This window comes from Homo sapiens, chromosome 2 (genome assembly GCF_000001405.40).
Source record: "Homo sapiens chromosome 2, GRCh38.p14 Primary Assembly".
Lineage (NCBI taxonomy): Eukaryota > Metazoa > Chordata > Mammalia > Primates > Hominidae > Homo > Homo sapiens.
In genome coordinates this window covers 135045234-135065224 of record NC_000002.12, presented here as the reverse complement: position 1 = coordinate 135065224, position 19991 = coordinate 135045234, and the positions used below count along the sequence as shown (strand labels likewise).

Here is a 19991-nt window from a genome sequence, read left to right as displayed (position 1 = left end):
CAGAAAGATATAGCTTTACTGAATTTAGGTGACACCGGACAAAGTTTGAGGGTGACAGGACAGTTCTAACATTGAGGTGTAAATTCTGGAAGGGAAGAAGCCAAAAGGGGGTAAGTCCCCCAAATTTATATATAAACTGTCCCAAACCTTGGCTATCTGCTAAACCATGCATGTGCAGAGGAGATTCTAGGGTACGATGACAAAGAAAAAGCTGGAAAGAAAAGATTTCAGCTGCTGCCATCACTGAAAAGAGAATGCAGTTTTAATCTAGCCAAGCAAACCACTCTCTACAACCAAAAAAAAAAAAAATACTCTTCAGAGGAACACAACATAAATGTTATAAATTTTATGAATGAAAATTTATGCTTACATTATAAATAAAATGTAGACTACATTTCGTCTCTACATTTCATAATGTAAGCATGAAACTTTAAAATTACTGGATACACATATCAAAAAAAAAAAAAAACAAAACACCTCAGGAAAAAAACAAAACGAAACAGGAAAATGTGATCTATACTCAAAAAAAAAAACATAATCAACAGAAACCAACCCCAAAAAGACCTAGTCATGCAACTGGCATTAGACTAGCTATAATAAATACACTCAAGGACTAAAGCTATAATAAATACACTCAAGTTTCAAACAAACTTAGAGATAAGTAATCTCAGAGAATTGGAAGTTTTTCATAAGAATCAAATGAAAATTCTAAACCTAAAAAGTACAATAACTGAATTGAAAAATACAGCAGGTAGGCTTAACAGCAAGTTGGAAACAAAAGAAGAAAGAAAAAATGAACTCGAAATCAAGAAAAATTATTCAACCTAAGGAACAGAGAGAAAAAAGACTGACAGCAGAACCTCAGAGACCCACCTGTGGGTCAGGATCAACAAGTCAAATGTTAAGTATAGCTTAAGTCACAGAAAAAGAGTAGAGAATGGGGCAAAAAAATTTTGAAGATATAATGACCTAACACACCCCAAATGTGGTGAAAAACAAAAATTTATCCAATATCAATATAAACCCTATGCAGCAAAAATACAAAGAAAACGTATCTGTGCACATCATAGTCAGATGGCTGAAATAAAATTTTTTTAAATAAAAAAATCTCAAAAGCAGCCAGAGAAAAACAACAAAGTCAAACAAAAATATGAATATATCTACCTTCTCCTTAGAAACTCCAGAGAACAGAAGACAATGGAACTACATCTTTATAGAAGTGGAAAAAAATAAGCATCAAGCCAGCACTCTTCAGCAAAACTATCCTTCAAAAATACGGCAAAATCTTTCAGGAAAACAAAAACAAAATTTGTAGCCAGCCAAAAGTATGGCAGTTCCCCAGAAAGTTAAAAATAGCACCATCAAATAATTCAGCAATTCCACTTCTGGGTATAAACCTAAAAGAACTGAAAGCAGGAACCTGACAGATATTTGTACATTCACGTTCATAGCAGCATTATTTATAATAGCTAAAAGGTAGAAGCGACCCAAGTGTCCATCAACAGATGAACAGATAAACAAAATGTGATATATACATACAATATTAATATTCAGCATTAAAAACGAAGAAAATTCTGACATGTGCTATAACCCTGGATGAACCTTGAAGACATTATGCTATGTGAAATAAGCCAGACACACACACAAAAAAACAAATACTGTATGATTCCATTTATATCAGGTACCTAGGATGGTCAAATTCATGGACAGAAAGTAGAAGAGTGGTTACCAGGGGACTGAGGGTGGGGAAAGAGTTCTTGTTTAATGGGTAGTTTCAGTTTGAGCTGATGAAAAAAGTTCTGGATGTGGATGGTAGTAATGATTGCACAATAATGTGAAAGTACTAAATGCCACTAAATTTTACACTTAAAAATCGTTAAAATGGTAAATCTTACATTTTACAACAAAAAAATTTTTAATCAACATAATTTACCATATTCAGAAAATAAAAAAGAAAAACTATATGATTATCTCAATAGATGCTAAATAAGATTTTACTAACTTGACTACTCATTTACAATAAAAACAAAAAACGTTCAGCAAACTAAAAAAATAATTTACTCAGTCTTATGGACACCTATTAAAAAACCTACAGTTAACTTAAGTTTTGAAGCATTGAACATTTCCCCCCACTTCACATTTAAAGAGGGCAAGGATGTCTACTTGCAGCAGTTCTACTCAACATGTCACTGAAGGTCTGGGATAGTACAATAACAGTCATAAAGGTATAAAAATTGGAAAGAAAGTAAAACTGTCCCTATTTGTGTGCAACATAATTATTAATGTAGAAAAATGCAGAACAATTAAATGATCACGATTAATAAGTGCGTTTAGCCAGGCGTTATGACACAAAGTTAACATACAAAATTTTACCATGTATCTATGTACTAGCAGTGAACAACTGGAAAACAAAACTAAAAAACAATTCCATTTATTTTTGCATCATACAACATAAAATCCTTAGTAATAAATTTAACAAAGGATATACAAGACCTCTACCAAAACTACAAAATGTTGCTGAGGAAAATTAAAGATGACCTAAATAAATGGAGAGATGTGCCATGTTCATGACTAGAACTTTCAAAACTGTTAAAATGTCTCCAAAGTGATCTACAAATTCAACCCAACCCCAATTACAGTCTCAGCATAATCATACTCCTTTTTATAGTAATTAGCAAGCCTATTCTAAAATTCATAATTGAAACACAAAAGATCTAAAATCTTGGGAAAACAACAAAAATGGAGAATTTACATTAACATCAGGATTTACTAAAAATCCATTCAATGGTTCTCAGCTGGGGCCAATTTTGCCCCTCAGCGGGCATTTGGCAATATCTGGATACAATTTTGGTTGTCACAACTGGAAACATGTTACTGGCATCTGGCAGGTAGAAACCAAAGATACTATTAAATATTTGACAATGCATAAGACAGCCTCACAACAATGTGGCCCAAAATGTCAATAGTGCCAAGGTTAGGAAACCTGAAACTACAGTAATCAAGACAATATACGACGGGCGCAGTGCCTCATGCCCGTAATCCCAGCACTTTGGGAAGCCGAGGCGGGCGGATCAGCTGAGGTCAAGAGTTCAAGACCAGCCTGGCCAACATGGTGGCAGGAGGCTGCAGTGAGCCAAGATCAAGCACTCCAGCCTGGGTGACAGAGTGAGACTCTGTCTCAAAAAAAAAAGAAAAAGACAATATGGTATTGACATAAGGATAGTCAAATAGACTAATGAAACAGAATACAGACTCCAGAAGTAGACCACTTAGGTCAACTACTCAATAAAGGTGACAAAGCAACTCAATGGAAAAAGTGTTTTCCAAAGTAGGTTCTAGAACAACAGGATATCCATACACAAAAAAAAGGAAGAAGAAACTTGATCCCTACTTCCCTCCATATAGTAGCTCAAAATAAATCATAGACCTTAACAAAGGTTAAATGATAAATTGGTAAACCCTCTAGAAAAATGCATTAAAAACATCTTCACAACCTAGCAAAACTACTGAGAAAAGACTTAAAAGCAGAATATATATATACCAAAAAAAAACTAAAAGAACTCCTACAACTCAATAAAAACAAAATCCAATTTTTAAAATGGATAAAGAACTTGAAAAGACATTTCACAAAGGAAGATAAACAAATGGCTAATAAATGCATGAAAATTCAAAGTGGTCAATATTAATATCATCACAGAAATACAGACTAAAACCAAAATGAGAAATATAAATTAAAAGCACAAACTACATACCCATTAAGATGACTAAAATATACATGACTGCAAACAACTGATTGTTGGTGAGAATGTATAGCAACACAACCTCCCATGTATTGATGGTGGGCAGGTAAAACAGTACAAAAAGCTCTAGCTGTTTCTTATAAAGTTGCACCTATCCTATTACCCAGTGATTCCAATCCTAGGTATTTACTCAAGAGAAATAAAAACATATGCCCACAAAAGGCCTCATACAATAATGTTCTGCTTTATTCCTAATAGTACGTATGTGGACAAGTGAAAGAAACCATGTATATTCATAAAACAGATCACTTACTACACAGCAATAAAGAGAAATGAAATTCTGGTATGTACAACAACCTAGATGAATCTCAAAAACATTATCGTGAGTAAAGGATGTCAAGGACATTTATGGTCACCTAAATGTAAAGTTCTAAAGCAGGTGACAGTAATTTATGTTTATTTAAAAAAAAAAAAAAAAAAAGGCTGGGCCCAGTGGTTCACACTTGTAATCCCAGCACTTTGGGAGGCCCAGGCAAGCAGATTGCTTTAGGCCAGGAATTGGAGACCAGCCTGGCCAACGTGGTGAAAATACAAAATACTAGAAACACAAAAATAGCCAGGCAAGGTGGCATATGCCTGTCGTCTCAGCTTCTTGGGAGGCTAAGGCATATGACTTGCTTGAACCCGGGAGGCAGAGGTTGCAATGAGCCAAGATCACACCAATGCACTCCAGCCTGGGCAACAGAGCAAGACTCTGTCTCAAATAATAATAATAATAACAATAATAATAATAGCAGATGACTGGAGGGCATGGGAATTAACTAGAAAGGGTCACTAAGGATCTTCCTGGGGTAACAGAGATGACCTCTATCTTGACAGGAGTGTAAGTTATACCCATGTGAACATTTGTCAAAATCAAGCAGTTGGCCAGGCGCGGTGGCTCACACCTGTAATCCCAGCACTTTGGGAGGCCGAGGCGGGCAGATCACAAGGTCAGGAGATCGAGACCATCCTGGCTAACACAGTGAAACCCCGTCTCTACTAAAAAATACAAAAAATTAGCCAGGTGTGGTGGCGGGTGCCTGTAGTCGCAGCCACTTGGGAGGCTGAGGCAGGAGAATCTCTTGAACCCGGGAGGTGGAGGTTGCGGTGAGCTGAGATCATGTCACTGCACTTCAGCCTGGGCAACAGAGCGAGACTCGGTCTCAAAAAAAAAAAAAAAAAAAAATCAAGCAGTTAAGTTTTGTCCATTACAATGTATATAAATCTTACCCAAAAAAAAACTATTAAAAAAATCTAGTGGAGGTAGGGGAGTAAACAGAGGTACCACTCAAACAAGAAATGGCAAAGTATTAATTGTTGACATTAAGTGATGGGTACATGGGAGTTCATTATACTATTCTGTTTACTTCATATATGTTTGAAATTTTCCATAATTAAAGGTTTTTAATAAATAATTTCCCTTAATTCCCCCTCAGTGGAGGAGAAAATTAATAATCACTGTCCTTCATATAAGTTAAAATCTTCAAAGGAAGTCTCTAAACTTTGTTTTCTACACCAAACAATCCCTGTCCTCTACACTTTCTTCATATTCATCATAGTTACAGCTCACCTTGAAATCTGCCCATATTTTCTGTATCTTATTTATGTACTACTATCTAGTAGGGAGAAACAGACTGGAGCTATGACTTCATTAGCCTCTACTACATGCCTGGCAGTATGCTACCTACTTTAAATAACTACCCACTTAAATCCCAAAACTGAATTTAGCATCTAAAACTTTAACCCTTAGAGTGACTTTAGTTAACACTAATTGACTGTACATTTCAAAATAGCTAAAAGAGAGTAACTTGCATGTTCTTAGCATAAAGATAAATATTTAAGGGTTCCCAAGTACCCTGATTTGATTATATGCATGTATCAAATTATCACATGTACCCCAAAATATGTACATCTATCATATATCAATTTAAAAAATAATAATAAAATAAAATTTTAATGTTTCTTTACTGATCACCCTCACTAGAATTTATGTTCAATGGCAACACTGATCTTATCTTGTTCACAATTTCTTCACATCAGGCACATAGCAGGTACTCAGTAAATACATGTAAATCAAAGAATGAAAGAATATCAGAGCTCATAAGTACCCGGTTTAGCTCTCTTCTTAGTAGTGTAAATCATTTCCTATTCTAGCTATATCCAGCTTATTTTGCCTCTAATCTTATTGGCATCTATATCAATTGTTATGTATTTGTTTCAAGTGGAGTAGAATGACCCGTGTTTGAAAGCGTCACATTTTCTTTATTCACACATGTAGTGTAGTAAATCAATGTATATATTGCCAAGAGTCTTTGAATGATGTATTTTTTATATGTGGTCTTACTTTTTCTGTTCATATTGATACAAATAAGGAGATTTTTTTTCCTTAAGAGACAGGGTCTCACCATGTTGCCTGGCTTCCTAATGCATTTTGACAGTCTCTTTTTTGATAGTATCACCATCACAAAGCTGAAAACCCCTAGCAAATATTGAGAACTCAAAGTTCCTAACACAGGGTAAATTATAATTAAATTACTATTGAATTAATAATTACTGAGTTAATAAGTTATCACTGAGTTAGTAATATTGAGTTGTAATAAAACCAACCATAAATTTTATTTCAAAAGAATTTATCTAACAAACTAAGCATCTACATAAACTTAAAATCAAATTGTTAGATCCCTTCACAGTGAATCCAGGTTTGTTCTCAGAGTACATTCTTCAGTAAACATTTGGGGTGTGGTTTATGAATAAAACTACCAATACTTTAGATTAGAATTTGATTTCTACCTCAATTTCAAAGAGTAATTTTTTCATTCTTAAATAAAATCCTTAAAACATCCATAAGTTAAAAAGCTTAAAAGGGAAGGGGGATGTTATTAGTGATATTATAAAATACAAAAACTGAGTGAAATAGTTGTTAACTACAGTAAGTCAATGGTAAGTACTAGAATTTTCCTCATTAGTAAGCAAAATATGCTACCAAAGAAGATGGTCACTGCAATGTTTCTCTGACCAAATAAAAAACTTTTAAAAACATGTTTTAACATTCCAAGGGAGAAGGCAAAAGAGAAGCAAACTTCACTCACAAAGAATCACTCACAAAGAATGACATTTTATATATATATATATACACACACACATATATATAACTTTATTAAACATTTCACAAATGTCTTACATATATCATTTGCCACAGATTTAAATCCAAATTCTTCCAAATGCTATTTGATGTTTATAGATTATACGTAACTTTAAAAAACATTTAATTCAAATGTGCCAAATGCAGCAAAGGGCTGGAAAATAGAGGTTTCAAAGTAAATAGTCATTTAGAGACACCAGCAAATAGATCTGACCTTTTCGAGTGGCTTTCCCAAAGAGTTTCCAATCAGTTTCCAGTCATTCAAGACTTCTTCAACTTTGGAAATAAACCTAGGAAGTAGGGAGAAAGCTTCTAAATACAACAGCACACCTTTTTTCCTATTATTATGTAATTTCTTTAAAAAGGTATTTTTTATATTTTAACAATTTGACCAGAGAGGACTCAGTACATTTAGTATTGCTAGCTTAATTTATGGATATGGGGTAAGAGAAATAATCTTCTTTCATTCAAGAATTCTTAGGTTTTGATTCATTTATATCTATTGCTTACCCAACAAAAGCATTCTGCCTTCTATAAAATGTAAATTAAGAATTGATGAATCTCTAATAAAACGAATAAAACAAATTTGGGGCACAAATAAAAACTGACAGACTAAAATGATACTATTAAAGATAATTATGGGCTGGGTGCAGTGGCTCATGCCTGTAATTCCAGCCCTTTGAATTCCTAACCCTGAGGTTGGGAGTTCAAGACCAGCCCAGCACAAATACAAAAAAAATTAGCCCGGTGTGGTGGCACACATCTGTAATCCCAGCTACGCAGGAGGCTGAGGCACAAAAATCACATAGAAGCGGACGTTGCAGTGAGCGGACATCGCGCCACTGCACGCCAGCCTGGGCGACAGAGTGAGATTCCATCTCAAAAATAAATAAATAAATAAAATTATGAAACCAATCATCTCTCTCCTACCCACAATAACTGACCTATTTAAATAAACTTTTCCTTTAAATATATTAGGAATTCCGATTTACCCCCCCAGCCCCCAACAAAAAAAGAAAATATTATTTGGTAACTTGGTTCATGAAACTAAAACAAGTTTTAATGGACAGCTGACAAGAAATTGCAAGTAAATATGTCAACTTTAAGTATAAGTGACAGGTCTTAAAACTAGTCACCAATCTTTAAATCCAATGGTCAAGAAGGCCTATTAAAAAGAGAACTGAATTTTGAGTAGCAACATGCTCAACATCAGTAAATGAAAACTGTCAAGTCTCAGTCAAAGACATTTTCAGAAGAATTATTCTTACTCTAAGTTGACTTCTTATATAAGCTAAGTATGATGCAATCTAACAGCAACATTGCTCTCTAAACACCTGGAAGTACTGCTAGAGTACTAGAGTTAATTCTAGTCAAACTGTATGGAAAGGCAACAGATTTTTTCCTTCAGTGACATTATGAACTAATATGAACTAATAATTATGTTTTAAGATAGTAATAATAAATCTATGATTCATCTGAGGCTTCTTACTAATTCCTCTTTAAAATTAAATGCAGTATCAATTCATACACTAATTCATGGGGGAGGTCAGTCAAATGACAATTACTAGGTTTGAAAATCAGTGCTCTAGAAACAAGTTTACATGTTTACCAAAGAGGAAAAATTTAATATATCCACAGGCAAGCAAAAATTTGCATGAAATGTATACTATATTTACGAAGCTAAAAAAACTGGAAGTTACCTTAATGCCCAACTGCAGGAAATACTTGTAAATTAATCCACTCAGAGGACTAATATGCACCCAATAAAAATCATGTCAATCAAAAGAAAATATACAAAGGCCAGGCACAGCGGCTCACGCGTGTAATCCCAGCACTTTGGGAGCTGAGGCGGGTGGATCACGAGGTCAGGAGTTCAAGACCAGTTTGTCCAAGATGGTGAAACCCCGTCTCTACTGAAAATACAACAAAAATTAGCCAGGCGCGGTGGCAGGCACCTGTAATCCCAGCTACTCAGGAGGCTGATGCAGGAGAATTGGTTGAACCCAGGTGGCAGAGGTTGCAGTGAGCCAAGACTGCACCACTGCACCCCAGCCTGGGCAACAGAGTGAGACTCTGTCTCAAAATAAAAAAGAAAAGAAAAAGAAAAAGAAATATTAATATTTGATCCAAAAAAGTTTTTAACACACGTTAGAAGGAAATATGTCGGCCGGGCGTGGTGGCTCATGCCTGTAATCCCAGCACTTTGGGAGGCCGAGGCGGGCGGATCATGAGGTCAGGAGATCGAGACCATCCTGGCTAACACAGTGAAACCCCGCCACTACTAAAAATACAAAAAATTAGCCGGGCGTGGTGGCGGGCACCTGTAGTCCCAGCTACTTGGGAGGCTGAGGCAGGAGAATGGCGTAAACCTGGGAGGCAGAGCTTGCAGTGAGCCGAGATCGCGCCACTGCACTCCAGCCTGGGCGACAGAGCGAGACTCCGTCTCAAAAAAAGAAAAAAAAAGGAAATATGTCAAAAAATTAACAGCAGTTATTTCCTGGTGTTAAGTTTACAGGTGATTTTTATTTTTTATTCTACTATAAGGTATTACTATTATAGTGAAAACTATTTAAAATATAGTTTTTACAGTAAAAGAAGAAATGTCTTTTTTTTTTTTTTTTTGAGACAGGGTCTCAACTCTGTCACCCAGGCTGGAATGCAGTGGTGTAATCACAGCTCACTGCAGTTCTGTCCTCCAGGACTCAAGCAATCCTCCCATCTCAGCCTCCTGACTAGCTGGGACTACAGGTGCACATCACCATGCCCAGCTAGCTTTTGTATTTTTAGTAGAGACAAGGTTTCGCCATGCTGCCCCAGCTCCTCTTGAACTCCTGAGCTCAAGTGATCTGCCTGCCTCAGCCTCTCTAAGTGCTGGGATTACAGGCATGAGCCACCATGCCCGGCCAGGAATGTCTTAAAATACTTATTGTATGAATAATGAATTCTATCAGTACTAGCTAAGAGACTTGGACTTTATCCTACAAGTATTGAGATTTGACTAGAAAAACTAAGTAATTTTTTCCTTAAAAGCTCTCAGGAAATGAAGGGTCATTTCCTGATTCCTTATTCTATATTAGGTCCCTCTGTTATAGGCTCTTATAAGACCAGGTTTCTTTCCCTTTCTAGCTCTTACATAAACTCATAATTACAGACTTGTATTACTTGATTTGTGTCTGTAATGCACTAGACTGCACATTTAGTAAAAGCAGAAACCGTACCTGTTTTACTAACCACCACATCCCTAAATCCGTAATGTGCACTGTGCTTGACATATGGGGATTCAATAAATATTGTCAATGAACAAATGATAAAAAGAGTTATGGGCTTCTATACAGTTCTCTCAATAAATTATCTATATAGTTCATAACATATTGTACTCACAAGATCTTTCATTTAAAATTAAACTCAAGGTTTGAGACTTCAAAGTCTTAACATTTTCTCTCATGAATTGTAAAATGCACACTACAGTGTAAAAGCCAAAAACCAAATTTTCTACTTTGCAATAGTTCTTATAACGGTGTTAATAATTATTTCCATATGCAAAGCTAAAGGACTTAATATTCCACTTCAGGATATTTTTAACTAGGGGAAAGTGATCATTTTTCCATTCAAAACTGATGTTTCCCTACCCCACCCTCCAAGATTTGAATTACATTTTTCTAACTACCTTCAAGACATCAAATTATTTCAAAATCAACAGGTTCAAATCTTCTCACTTTGACACTTCCTTACATTCATTCTTACAGGCAAAAAACTACAGTTCACATTTGATTTTTCCCACTTTTAACGTATCATCAAGTTTATTACCTAAATCTTCTCTGAAATATGTTACAATCCTCCCTTCTAGGTTCCCTTTGTATTCCAGTCCACAAATCACCATCCTAATTATGAATCAAGTTAAGTCTCCCACCATTATTCTACATCATGTCCTAAAACCACTTTCATCATATCACCTGGCCACTCTAAAACGAAGGGTCTCTCACTATTGTCTTAAGCAGTGGTTCTTTCTAAGTGTGGTCTCCTGACCAGCAGCATCTGAATTACCTGAGACCGTGTTACACAAGCAAAATTTTCAGTCCCACCTCAGACCTACAGAATCAGAAACTCTGAGGATGGGGCCCAGCAATCTAAGACTCTGATGTACATTAAAGTATGAGAATCACTGGTCATAGGAATACTGAATCTGGATTCCTGTATTTAGTTTGGGAAGATGTCCATAACCCAATCCCGTCTTCCTTGTTAACCTTATTTATTTCCCTTCAATAGACAGTCTTCACTCTAGTGAAGATATATTTCTTCATTCAGTCCCTTCAAAGATTCATTCTCACCTATGTCTCTACCCATGTCAGTCCATTCTCATGTTTAACCAACCACTTCCCACTTTCAAGGCCCAGCTCATTTCCTATCTTTTCTATGAAAATATCTCCAACTATTGTAGTCCACAATATCACCCCTATTTAAATAATAATTATTTTAATTATTATTTTTACAGGTAGTACCAACTGGCTTACATTTTAACTATTTGCTGTTTGTTGTTTTTTAAAAATATATGGGTCAAGTTTCTGCTTTTCCCTTTGTATATAGCTCTGGACACCCAGTACCTACTCAATGAAGTCTTGCCAGTGTGGTTATGTCTTACTGACACTTTTATGAAGGGTACCACAGGTCTAACTATTATTCCAACAAGGACCTTTTATATTTTCCTGTGCCACCTAATGACACGACATCCACAAATTTCCTCTCCCAACCAGAAAGATTATAAAATGCTGTAACAGCGTAAACACTGACTTCAACACCCAGGAAACTGAAGGGTTTCTGTGACACTTAACAGAAACCTTCTCGATCTAAGCTATCACTCCTCCACAAACTTGGCTTTCAACTAATTTCAGTAATAGAACAGTTTCACCCAGACAGCTGTTCATCTGAATTTGACAGGCACAGGAAGCCTGGGCACAGTACCCACTTTAATGTAACAACTTAAATCAAAGCATTCCAAAACCATATGCAGACTTTTTAAAAAGGTTATTCTAAAAGACAGGATGGGCGGAGGCTCACGCCTGTAATCTCAGCACTTTGGGCGGCCCAGGCTTGAGCCCAGGAGTTCAAGACTAGCCTGGGCAACACAGCGAGATCTTTAAAAAATTAGTTGGGCGTAATAGCGCGTGCCTGTGGTCCCAGCTCCTCCCGAGGCTAAAGCGGGAGCTTCACTTGAGCCTAGGAGTTCGAGGCCGCAGTAAGCTATGACCTCGCCACTGCACTCCGGCCTGGGCGGACAGACTGAGACTCTGTCTCCAAAAATAAATAAAAATAAAAAATTAAAGACAGCATGGAGATGGTGGGAGTGTGACAGATGGACAACTACCAATACTCTGAAGAAAGACTTCCTCCTGAAAAGGGTATACCAACGTACACGGGATGAGGTGCGGCACAACCTACCAAGTTTACTGCTTACGATAATGAGTTAAACGGTAATGAAAACCGGAACGGTTGTTGCAGCCTCGGAAATTTTTCTTGCGAGTGGGTAACAACCAGAAAACCAAAGTCTAAGGGAAGCGGTCTGACAGGAGAGAAAACAAAACTTTCTGAGAGCCTGAGCCTCAGGGATTGGCTGACGGGGGCGGGCCGGGTGTTGCCAGACGCGAGACGCGGAAGAGGCTTGCGGTTGACCAAAGAAGACTGGGGGAGGAGACCCGGGACCCACGGTATTACCGTTCCCGCACAAGTGGCGTCACTTGTGGTGTGTCTGGGGTCAGGGAAGCGGCTAGGGGACGCCAGGGCCCATGGGAGCTGGTAACCAAAAATGCGATTCACTCACCTTTCCCATTCCGAGGCAGTGGTGAAGTCCGTGATCTCAAATACCTCGGATTCGGGCTGCGGGAAGGGGAAGGAGAGAAAAAGAAATTAAGCCCCAAGGCGAAGACATGAGGAACGAATTTAGATAGTGACAAGGATTAAGTAGGGAGCAAAGAAATCACCTCACTGTCGGCAGCCATCTTGAGGAGCGCCGGGCCTGGCGCTAAGGCTGCCGGGAAGAAGAGCGAAAGAGAACGGGGCGCGTCCCCGCCCCCGGAGCCCCCGCCCCCTGTTCATGAGTCTTGCCCTAGTAAGTAGGAGTGCTGCTTCTTCGCCCAGGTCTGTTAAGTCTTTAGTCCGCCCTCAGCTGGTTAATAAAACTCCGCTCTAGCTGGTTTCATAAAACTTGAAAATTTCCTGTGATGAATACAGAAAGGGAACAGAAGCCAAGGTGATAGGACAAGACCCTAAACTCATGTGGATAAGATTGTATTAAAAAACCTAAAGCATGTTGGGTTTGTTTTCATTCAACCCATATTTGTAGTTAGTACCAATTAGCTTACACTTTAACTATTGGGTTTCTTTTCATTCACCCTCTATTTATTGATTGTAAGGCAATAAACTAGGTGCTGTAATACCACTTCTACCCTCTGCCCCTGACCCTGCAAGAAGTTGCTCAGTTGATTGTCCTGAAATAAAATCATACTAGTTACCTGGTTTCTGGGAAGAGCAACATGGTGTTCAACAAACGCTTCATTTTTTTTTTTTTTTTTTTTTTTTTTTTTTTTTTTTTGAGACGGAGTCTTGCTCTGTCGCCCAGGCTGGAGTGCAGTGGCACGATCTTGGCTCACTGCAAGCTCCGCCTCCCGGGTTCACGCCATTCTCCTGCCTCAGCCTCCCGAGTAGCCGGGACCACAGGCGCTCGCCACCACGCCCGGCTAATTTTTTGTATTTTTAGTAGAGATGAGGTTTCATCGTGTTAGCCAGGATGGTCTCGATCTCCTGACCTCATGATCTGCCCACCTCGGTTCTGTCGCCAGGCTGGAGTGCAGTGGCGCGATTTCGGCTCACTGCAATCTCTGCCTCCTGGGTTCAAGTGATTCTCATGCCTCAGCCTCCCGAGTAGCTGGGATTACAGGCATGCGCCACAACACCCAGCTAATTTTTGTATTTTTGGTAGAGATGGGGTTTCACCATGTTGGCCAGGATGGTCCCGATCTCCTGACCTTGTGATCCGCCCCCCTCGGCCTCCCAAAGTGCTGGGATTACAGGTGTGAGCCACTGTGCCTGGCCTTGTCTTTATTTTAACACCTTCAAGTTATTTATATATATTCTGCATCTGAGCTTTATATTGTTTATATATGTAGCAAATACCTTCTCCCACTCTGCAGCTTGCTTTTTCACTATTTTTTTTTCAGACTGGTGCTCTAAAAAAGCAGACACTACAATTCCAAGCTGGCGAAGTCTCTGAAGTCCAACTGGAAGTGCTAGGGCAAAAATTATGCATCAGGAAATGCGTAGCCCCTTGTACTACTGCCTTGCTCCGTCAATCATTGGCCAGGATCTCCCCAAGAAAACAGTGGCCTTGGCTATCACTGTTTGCTCAGTTTTTGGCTGGAGGAAGCACTCCAAGAATAGCAGGTCCTTGGCTCAACAGTTAGACAAACCTGATAAACCCAACAGCCGTAGGCTGTTCATCTAACCACACGCCTTACAGCTGGGCAGTGAGTCTTTCTTTAAGGGAGGTCTGAGCAGCACATCTTTTGTGTCTGCCACTCTCTTTTAATAGACAGCCTCTTTTAACATGCACCTACAATGTTTTCGACATCCTGTGCTTTCTCTTTCCTCTGGACATGCTGTCGTTTAGAATCTGCAATGTCCTTGTGTCTATAGTTTACCTGGTAAAATTTGTCCTTCAAGTTTCAGCTTGGATATTTGCTCTTCTGTGAAGACTTTCTCTGCCCCCTGTTAGGAGCTTATTTGTATTTGCAACCAGTTTGGTGGTAATCGATTGGATTCTCACTCAAAATTCATATGTTGAAGCCCTAACTCCTAGTACCTCAAAATGTGACTGTATTTATGGACAGGGTGTTTAAAGAGGTGATTAAGTTAAAATTAGGCCGCTAGAGTGGGCCCTAATCCAATCTGACTAGTGTCCTTATGAGAAGAGATTAGGACACCAGGGATGTGCACACACAGAGGAAAGGCCATGTGGGGACACAGAGAGTAGGTGGCCACCTGCAAACCAAGGAGAGAGGCCTCAGGAGAAACCCAACCTGCTGATACCTTGGTCGTGGGCTTCTAGTCTTCAGAGCTGTGAGCAAATAAAAAAATATTTTTTTGAGATGGAGTCTTGCTCTGTCACCCAGGCTGGAATGCAGTGGTGAGATCTTGGCTCACTGCAACGTTCACCTGCCAGATTCAAGCAATTTTCCAGCCTCAGCCTTCTGAGTAGCTGGGATTACAGGCATGTGCCACCACATCCAGCTAATTTTTGTATTTTTAGTAGAGACAGCATTTCACCTTATTGGCCAGACTGGTCTCAAACTCCTGACCTCAGGTGATCAACCCTCCTCGGCCTCCCAGAGTGCTGGGATTACAGGTGTGAACCACGGCGCCCAGCCCTGTGAGCAAATAAATTTTTGTTGTTTAAGCCTTCCAGTCTGTGGCATTTTGTTCAAGCAGCCCTAGGCAAACATACATCCCCCACCCTCAACCCAGGAAGTCAGACACTCCCCTTCCATGCTTCCTTAGAGCTTTTGACACAGCCCTAGGGCAGCCTGATATTGTCCTTGTTTTGTATGCCTATCCCTCCACTATTTCTAAACATTGAGTTTCTTGAAAAAGAGAATGGTTTGAATGACTCTATCTCAAAATGAGAGACAAAAGGAGGATTCCTTTTTTGTTTAAAGACAGGATGTCTTTCTGTTTCCCAGGCTGGAGTGAAGTGGCATGATCATAGCTCACTGCAGCCTCAAACTCTTGGACTCAACCAATCCTCCTGCCTCAGACTCCTGAGTAGCTGAAACTACAGGTGCCCACCACCACGTCCAGCAATTTTTTCTATTTTTTGCAGAGACATGGTCTCACTATGTTGCTCAGGCTGGTCTCAAACAACTAAGCTCAAGCAATCCTCCTACCTTGGCCTCCCAAAGTGCTGGGATTACAGGCGTGAGCCACTGCGCATAGCCAGAAGATTACATTTTTTGGGGGGGGTGGGAACGGAGTCTTGCTCACTCTGTCACCCAGGCTGGAGTGCAGTGGCACAATCCCGACTCACTGTAACCTCCGCCTCCTGGGTTCAAAGCAATTCTGCCTCAGCCTCCCGAGTAGCTGGGATTACAGGCACTAGCCACCACACCCGGCTAATTTTTTTTTTTGAGATGGAGTCTTGCTCAGTCGCCCAGGCTGGAGTGCAGTGGTGCGATCTCGGCTCACTGCAAGCTCCGCCTCCCAGGTTCACGCCATTATCCTGACTCAGCCTCCCGAGTAGCTGGGACTACAGGCGCCTGCCACCACACCCGGTTATTTTTTTTGTATTTTCAGTAGAGACGGGGTTTCACCGTGTTAGCCAAGATGGTCTCGAACTCCTGACCTCGTGATCCACCCACCTCAGCCTCCCAAAGTGCTGGGATTACAGGTGTGAGCCACCACGCCTGGCCTAATTTTTTTATTTTTGGTAGAGATGGGGTTTCACCATGTTGGCCAGGCTGGTCTGGAACTCCTGACCTAAGGTGATCCACCCACCTCAACCTCCCAGAGTGCTAGGATTACAGGTGTGAGCCACCACATCTGGCCAGGATTACTTTTTGAGAAGCCAATTTAAAGATTCATGGATTGCAGACAAGCTGGAACCCTAGGATAACCTGGCAGAAATCCTAAAAGTCAGAAACTACGGTACTTGCACCTTCCTCTGTTAGGCTGAGAGAGTACTCACCTTGATGGGAGTAGAAGCAAAGTAGAGCATAGGAAGCAAAACAGAGTAATAGCCTGTGTGTGCTTAAATTGGTGTCAAGCAGCTTGAAGTTGAATTGGTAATGAGGGAGTTTACGTAGATCTAACAATCTCTGAATGGTTTTTACCCTGAAGTCTTCATCCACTAAAGGAGAGAGAGAGAGAGAGAGAGAGAGAGAGTGTGTGTGTGTGTGTGTGTGTGTACGTGCTTGCGCATGGTAAAGGTAGTATTGCAACATTGTGGCCAGGCCGCTTAGGTTCAATCCCTAGCTCCACCATTCATTAGCTCAAAAGTTCTAAGCCTCAGTGTCATCTTCTGTAACGTGGCAATGATGCTGTTTATTGTTTCAACTCCATAGAGTTGTTATGAGGGTTAAATGACATTAATCATGTCCTTTATGGACTAACGTAGGAACTAGTCAATAAATGTCAGCTGTTGTTATTGCGATAGAATATCGTACCCCATTCAGTTGAGAATATATAATGTTACGCCCTACCTTAGAAGAGAAACCCCTGCATCCTTTGGTAAGTGGCAGAAAAGAATTTAGCAGCACACAAATGCCGGGTGACCTTATGGAGTGCCCTGTGTCCACTTCCTCATGATTATGTTTTCATAGTCCATGATTTGAAGTCTTTTGCAGTTGGGTTTATTACCACTGGACTCAGACAAAAATGCAGTCTGTTTACTGAAGCTTTTGCTTCAGAATATCACAAGCATATCTAGAGAAGAAGTATGTTGTAATGTAAGGATTTCTGTCTGCTAGCGCTTTCTCAAGGCTGAGTCTAAGAATGCAATCAGTTTGGTGGTAATCGATTGGATTCTCACTCTGTGACCTATATGCAGCTTTGAAAGGGGCCCTTCTGGCACCTTGTGGGGATTACAAAGGCATGGATCTCTTAGAGAAAGTCTCAGTGCATCAGGTGATCACAGTAATTGTGCCAACCATGGAAGTACATAGGGGTTTGGTAGTTTTAAAGCACTTAAGCAACAACTTGGAAGAGCATACAAAACTTGTTTTCCTTCCTGGATGAGACTGTCCTGCTTTCAATTCTCTAAGCTAAATGCACAGTGGATGGTTGCCTAGGAGACAACCTGTAAACTAAGCAGTCTATTTGCAGCTAACTAAAGGGTTTGTGCATGCAGGACCAGCTTAATTAAAGACAAAATTTAAAAGGAAAAATTATTTGGGCTGTACAACACTGAAAAAAAAATCTGAATCTATGCTGTTTTTAAATGGATCCCTGGTTGAAGTGTGGGTTACAGCTGTCCCAGAAATCAGTGCCACAATGAATTAGGATGATGTTGGCTACTGTTTGGCTTGGTGTTTCTTCAACTGTGTGCCACGTCCCTCAGCAAAACACAGCACAGGTAAGCCGAATCTCTGCTTTTCATCTCATTTTAGATAAACTGTATGTTGCAACTTTTTTACTCCCCAAAGGATGTCCCAGAGGAGGAATGCCTGGTAAACTGATAGAAGAAACTGTGTCCTAATCTCAAATAATAATATCCTTGGAGTTGTAATAAACTATTTTTTACTTTTCAAATATTGTGACGATTTCCTCCAATACTTATGCAGGCACCTCTAGACCATAGGCTAAATTACTAATGACAAGAAAAGTGTATGAAAAACACTTGCCTTCATTGAATTATACCTAGGGGTAATCTTTTAGTTTAATCACCCAAATATGTGTAAACTTTACATGGTATGAATCTTCTTGTAACCAATCAATATTGTATACATATGTTCTTAACCATGCTTTCTCAACATGAAATGAGATTTCTGTTGCTTTAAATCTTTATTGCATAAGGTTCTAAATCAAATGTACACTATAACAAAAGGTTTTGGTTTTACAAATAGATAAACCATGCATGCAATTAAAAATAAAAAAGACTGGGTTTTAATAGATGCTAAACTAAAAACCTCTGTGGAATGAAACACTATTCCTCAAAAATCATTGACCAAAACAGTTCTAAATGGGGCGGGCATGGTGGCTCATGCCCGTAATCCTAGCACTTTGGGAGGCCAAGGAGGGTGGATGACCTGAGGTCAGGAGTTCGAGACCAGCCTGCCCAACATGGTGAAACCCTGTCTCTACTAAAATACAAAAATTAGCCGGCAAGGTGGCAGGTGCCTGTAATCCCAGCTACTTGGGAGGCTGAGGCAGGAGAATTGTTTGAACCTAGGAGGCGGAGGTTGCAGTGAACCGAGATTGTGCCACTGTACTCCAGTCTGGGCGATAGAGGGAGACTCTGTAACAACAACAACAACAACAATAACAACAACAATTCTAAATGGAAAATTGAGAAATATTTTCTTATGAAAAAAACCTAAAATGGACATGTACAGATTGAAGGTTGGAAGAGGAAATAGAGCTCAATAATAAAAAGCACTGTGGGTTTGTGACTAAGCCTGGGCAACATAGTGAGACTCTGTCTCTACAAAAATAAAACATAAAAATAACTAGCGGGGCATAGTGCTGTGCACCTGTAGCCCTAGTTATCTGGGAGGCTGAGGTGGGAGGATCCCTTAAACCTAGGAGTTTGAGGCTGCAGTGAGCTATGATCAAGCTGCTGTACTCCAGCCTGGATGAGAGAGTGAGACCCCATCTCTAATAAAAATAATTTTTAAAAGCCATGGTCTGTGCATGTTAACTAAAAGAATGACCTGCATATAGGGATAATGCTATGTGCTCATTCCATCTTCATTGTCTTCCTCCAGTCTCTATTGAGTATGTGAGACAATAAATGGCCAAATAATGACCACATTACCCGGTATTGCAGTGATTTGATTTGATAATTTTGGGATTGTAGTTTAGTTAAATCTAAATTTTTTTGTTTTATTTTAGATGATAGATACTACTTATGAAATGCTCTCCCTTAAGGGTCACATTAAAAAGTTAAATTACAACTCCATAACATTGCTAGGTAATAACCTTGGGGGAAAAATGTTTGAAGTTTTATTAGTACTTTATGAATAAAGTGTGATATAAATATCTATTTCTTGCCTAGTTGTTATTTGAATATCTGATTTTTAGCTTTATTGAAAGACAAGTTTTAATTATCCTTTGTTTCGGAAAACCTTTTTTCCCCCTGAAATGATCCTGCAAATACTGTTGCATTTTCAAAAACAAGTATGTAAATCTAAGTTACAAAGCAATTTACTGGGACAGATGTGTGTATTGGTTTTAATTATTTCTGTGTCCTGATTTTGAGTATATCATCTGCCCCTTCCGCCCTTAGTAAGGTTCCAAGTACACTGCTTATTAAATGCTAATGATTAAGATAATGATGATTAAGTGACAGCAATCAACTAAACGTC

General features: G+C 39.3%; 2 protein-coding genes across 9 annotated transcripts in view, besides 1 other annotated feature; one reads left to right on the top strand and one right to left on the bottom strand.

Annotated features, from left to right (window-relative positions):
* Positions 1–12933, bottom strand: part of RAB3GAP1 (RAB3 GTPase activating protein catalytic subunit 1) — a 124105-nt gene extending 111172 nt beyond the window's left edge. For all 5 annotated transcript variants that reach the window (XR_001738674.3, XM_011510823.4, NM_001172435.2 and 2 more), the window contains exons 1-3: positions 12900–12933; positions 12740–12795; positions 7139–7214 (exon numbers count right to left, since the gene is read on the bottom strand). Coding sequence is in view for 4 of the 5 variants with exons in the window: in XM_011510823.4 (XP_011509125.1) it covers positions 7139–7214; positions 12740–12795; positions 12900–12917 (150 nt within the window). In the remaining variant the exon portion in view is untranslated. The remainder of the gene's footprint in view (positions 1–7138; positions 7215–12739; positions 12796–12899) is intronic.
* Positions 12221–12360: an enhancer, noted in NCBI's record as "active region_16570". NCBI's record gives its function as "activates an Ori minimal core promoter by ATAC-STARR-seq in GM12878 lymphoblastoid cells {active_cell/tissue: GM12878}" and the evidence as "EXISTENCE:reporter gene assay evidence [ECO:0000049][PMID:35858748]".
* Positions 17778–19991, top strand: part of MAP3K19 (mitogen-activated protein kinase kinase kinase 19) — an 82957-nt gene continuing 80743 nt past the window's right edge. For all 4 annotated transcript variants that reach the window (XM_017005005.3, XM_017005004.3, NM_025052.5 and 1 more), the window contains exon 1: positions 17778–18040. The gene's annotated coding sequence lies outside the window, so the exon portion shown is untranslated. The remainder of the gene's footprint in view (positions 18041–19991) is intronic.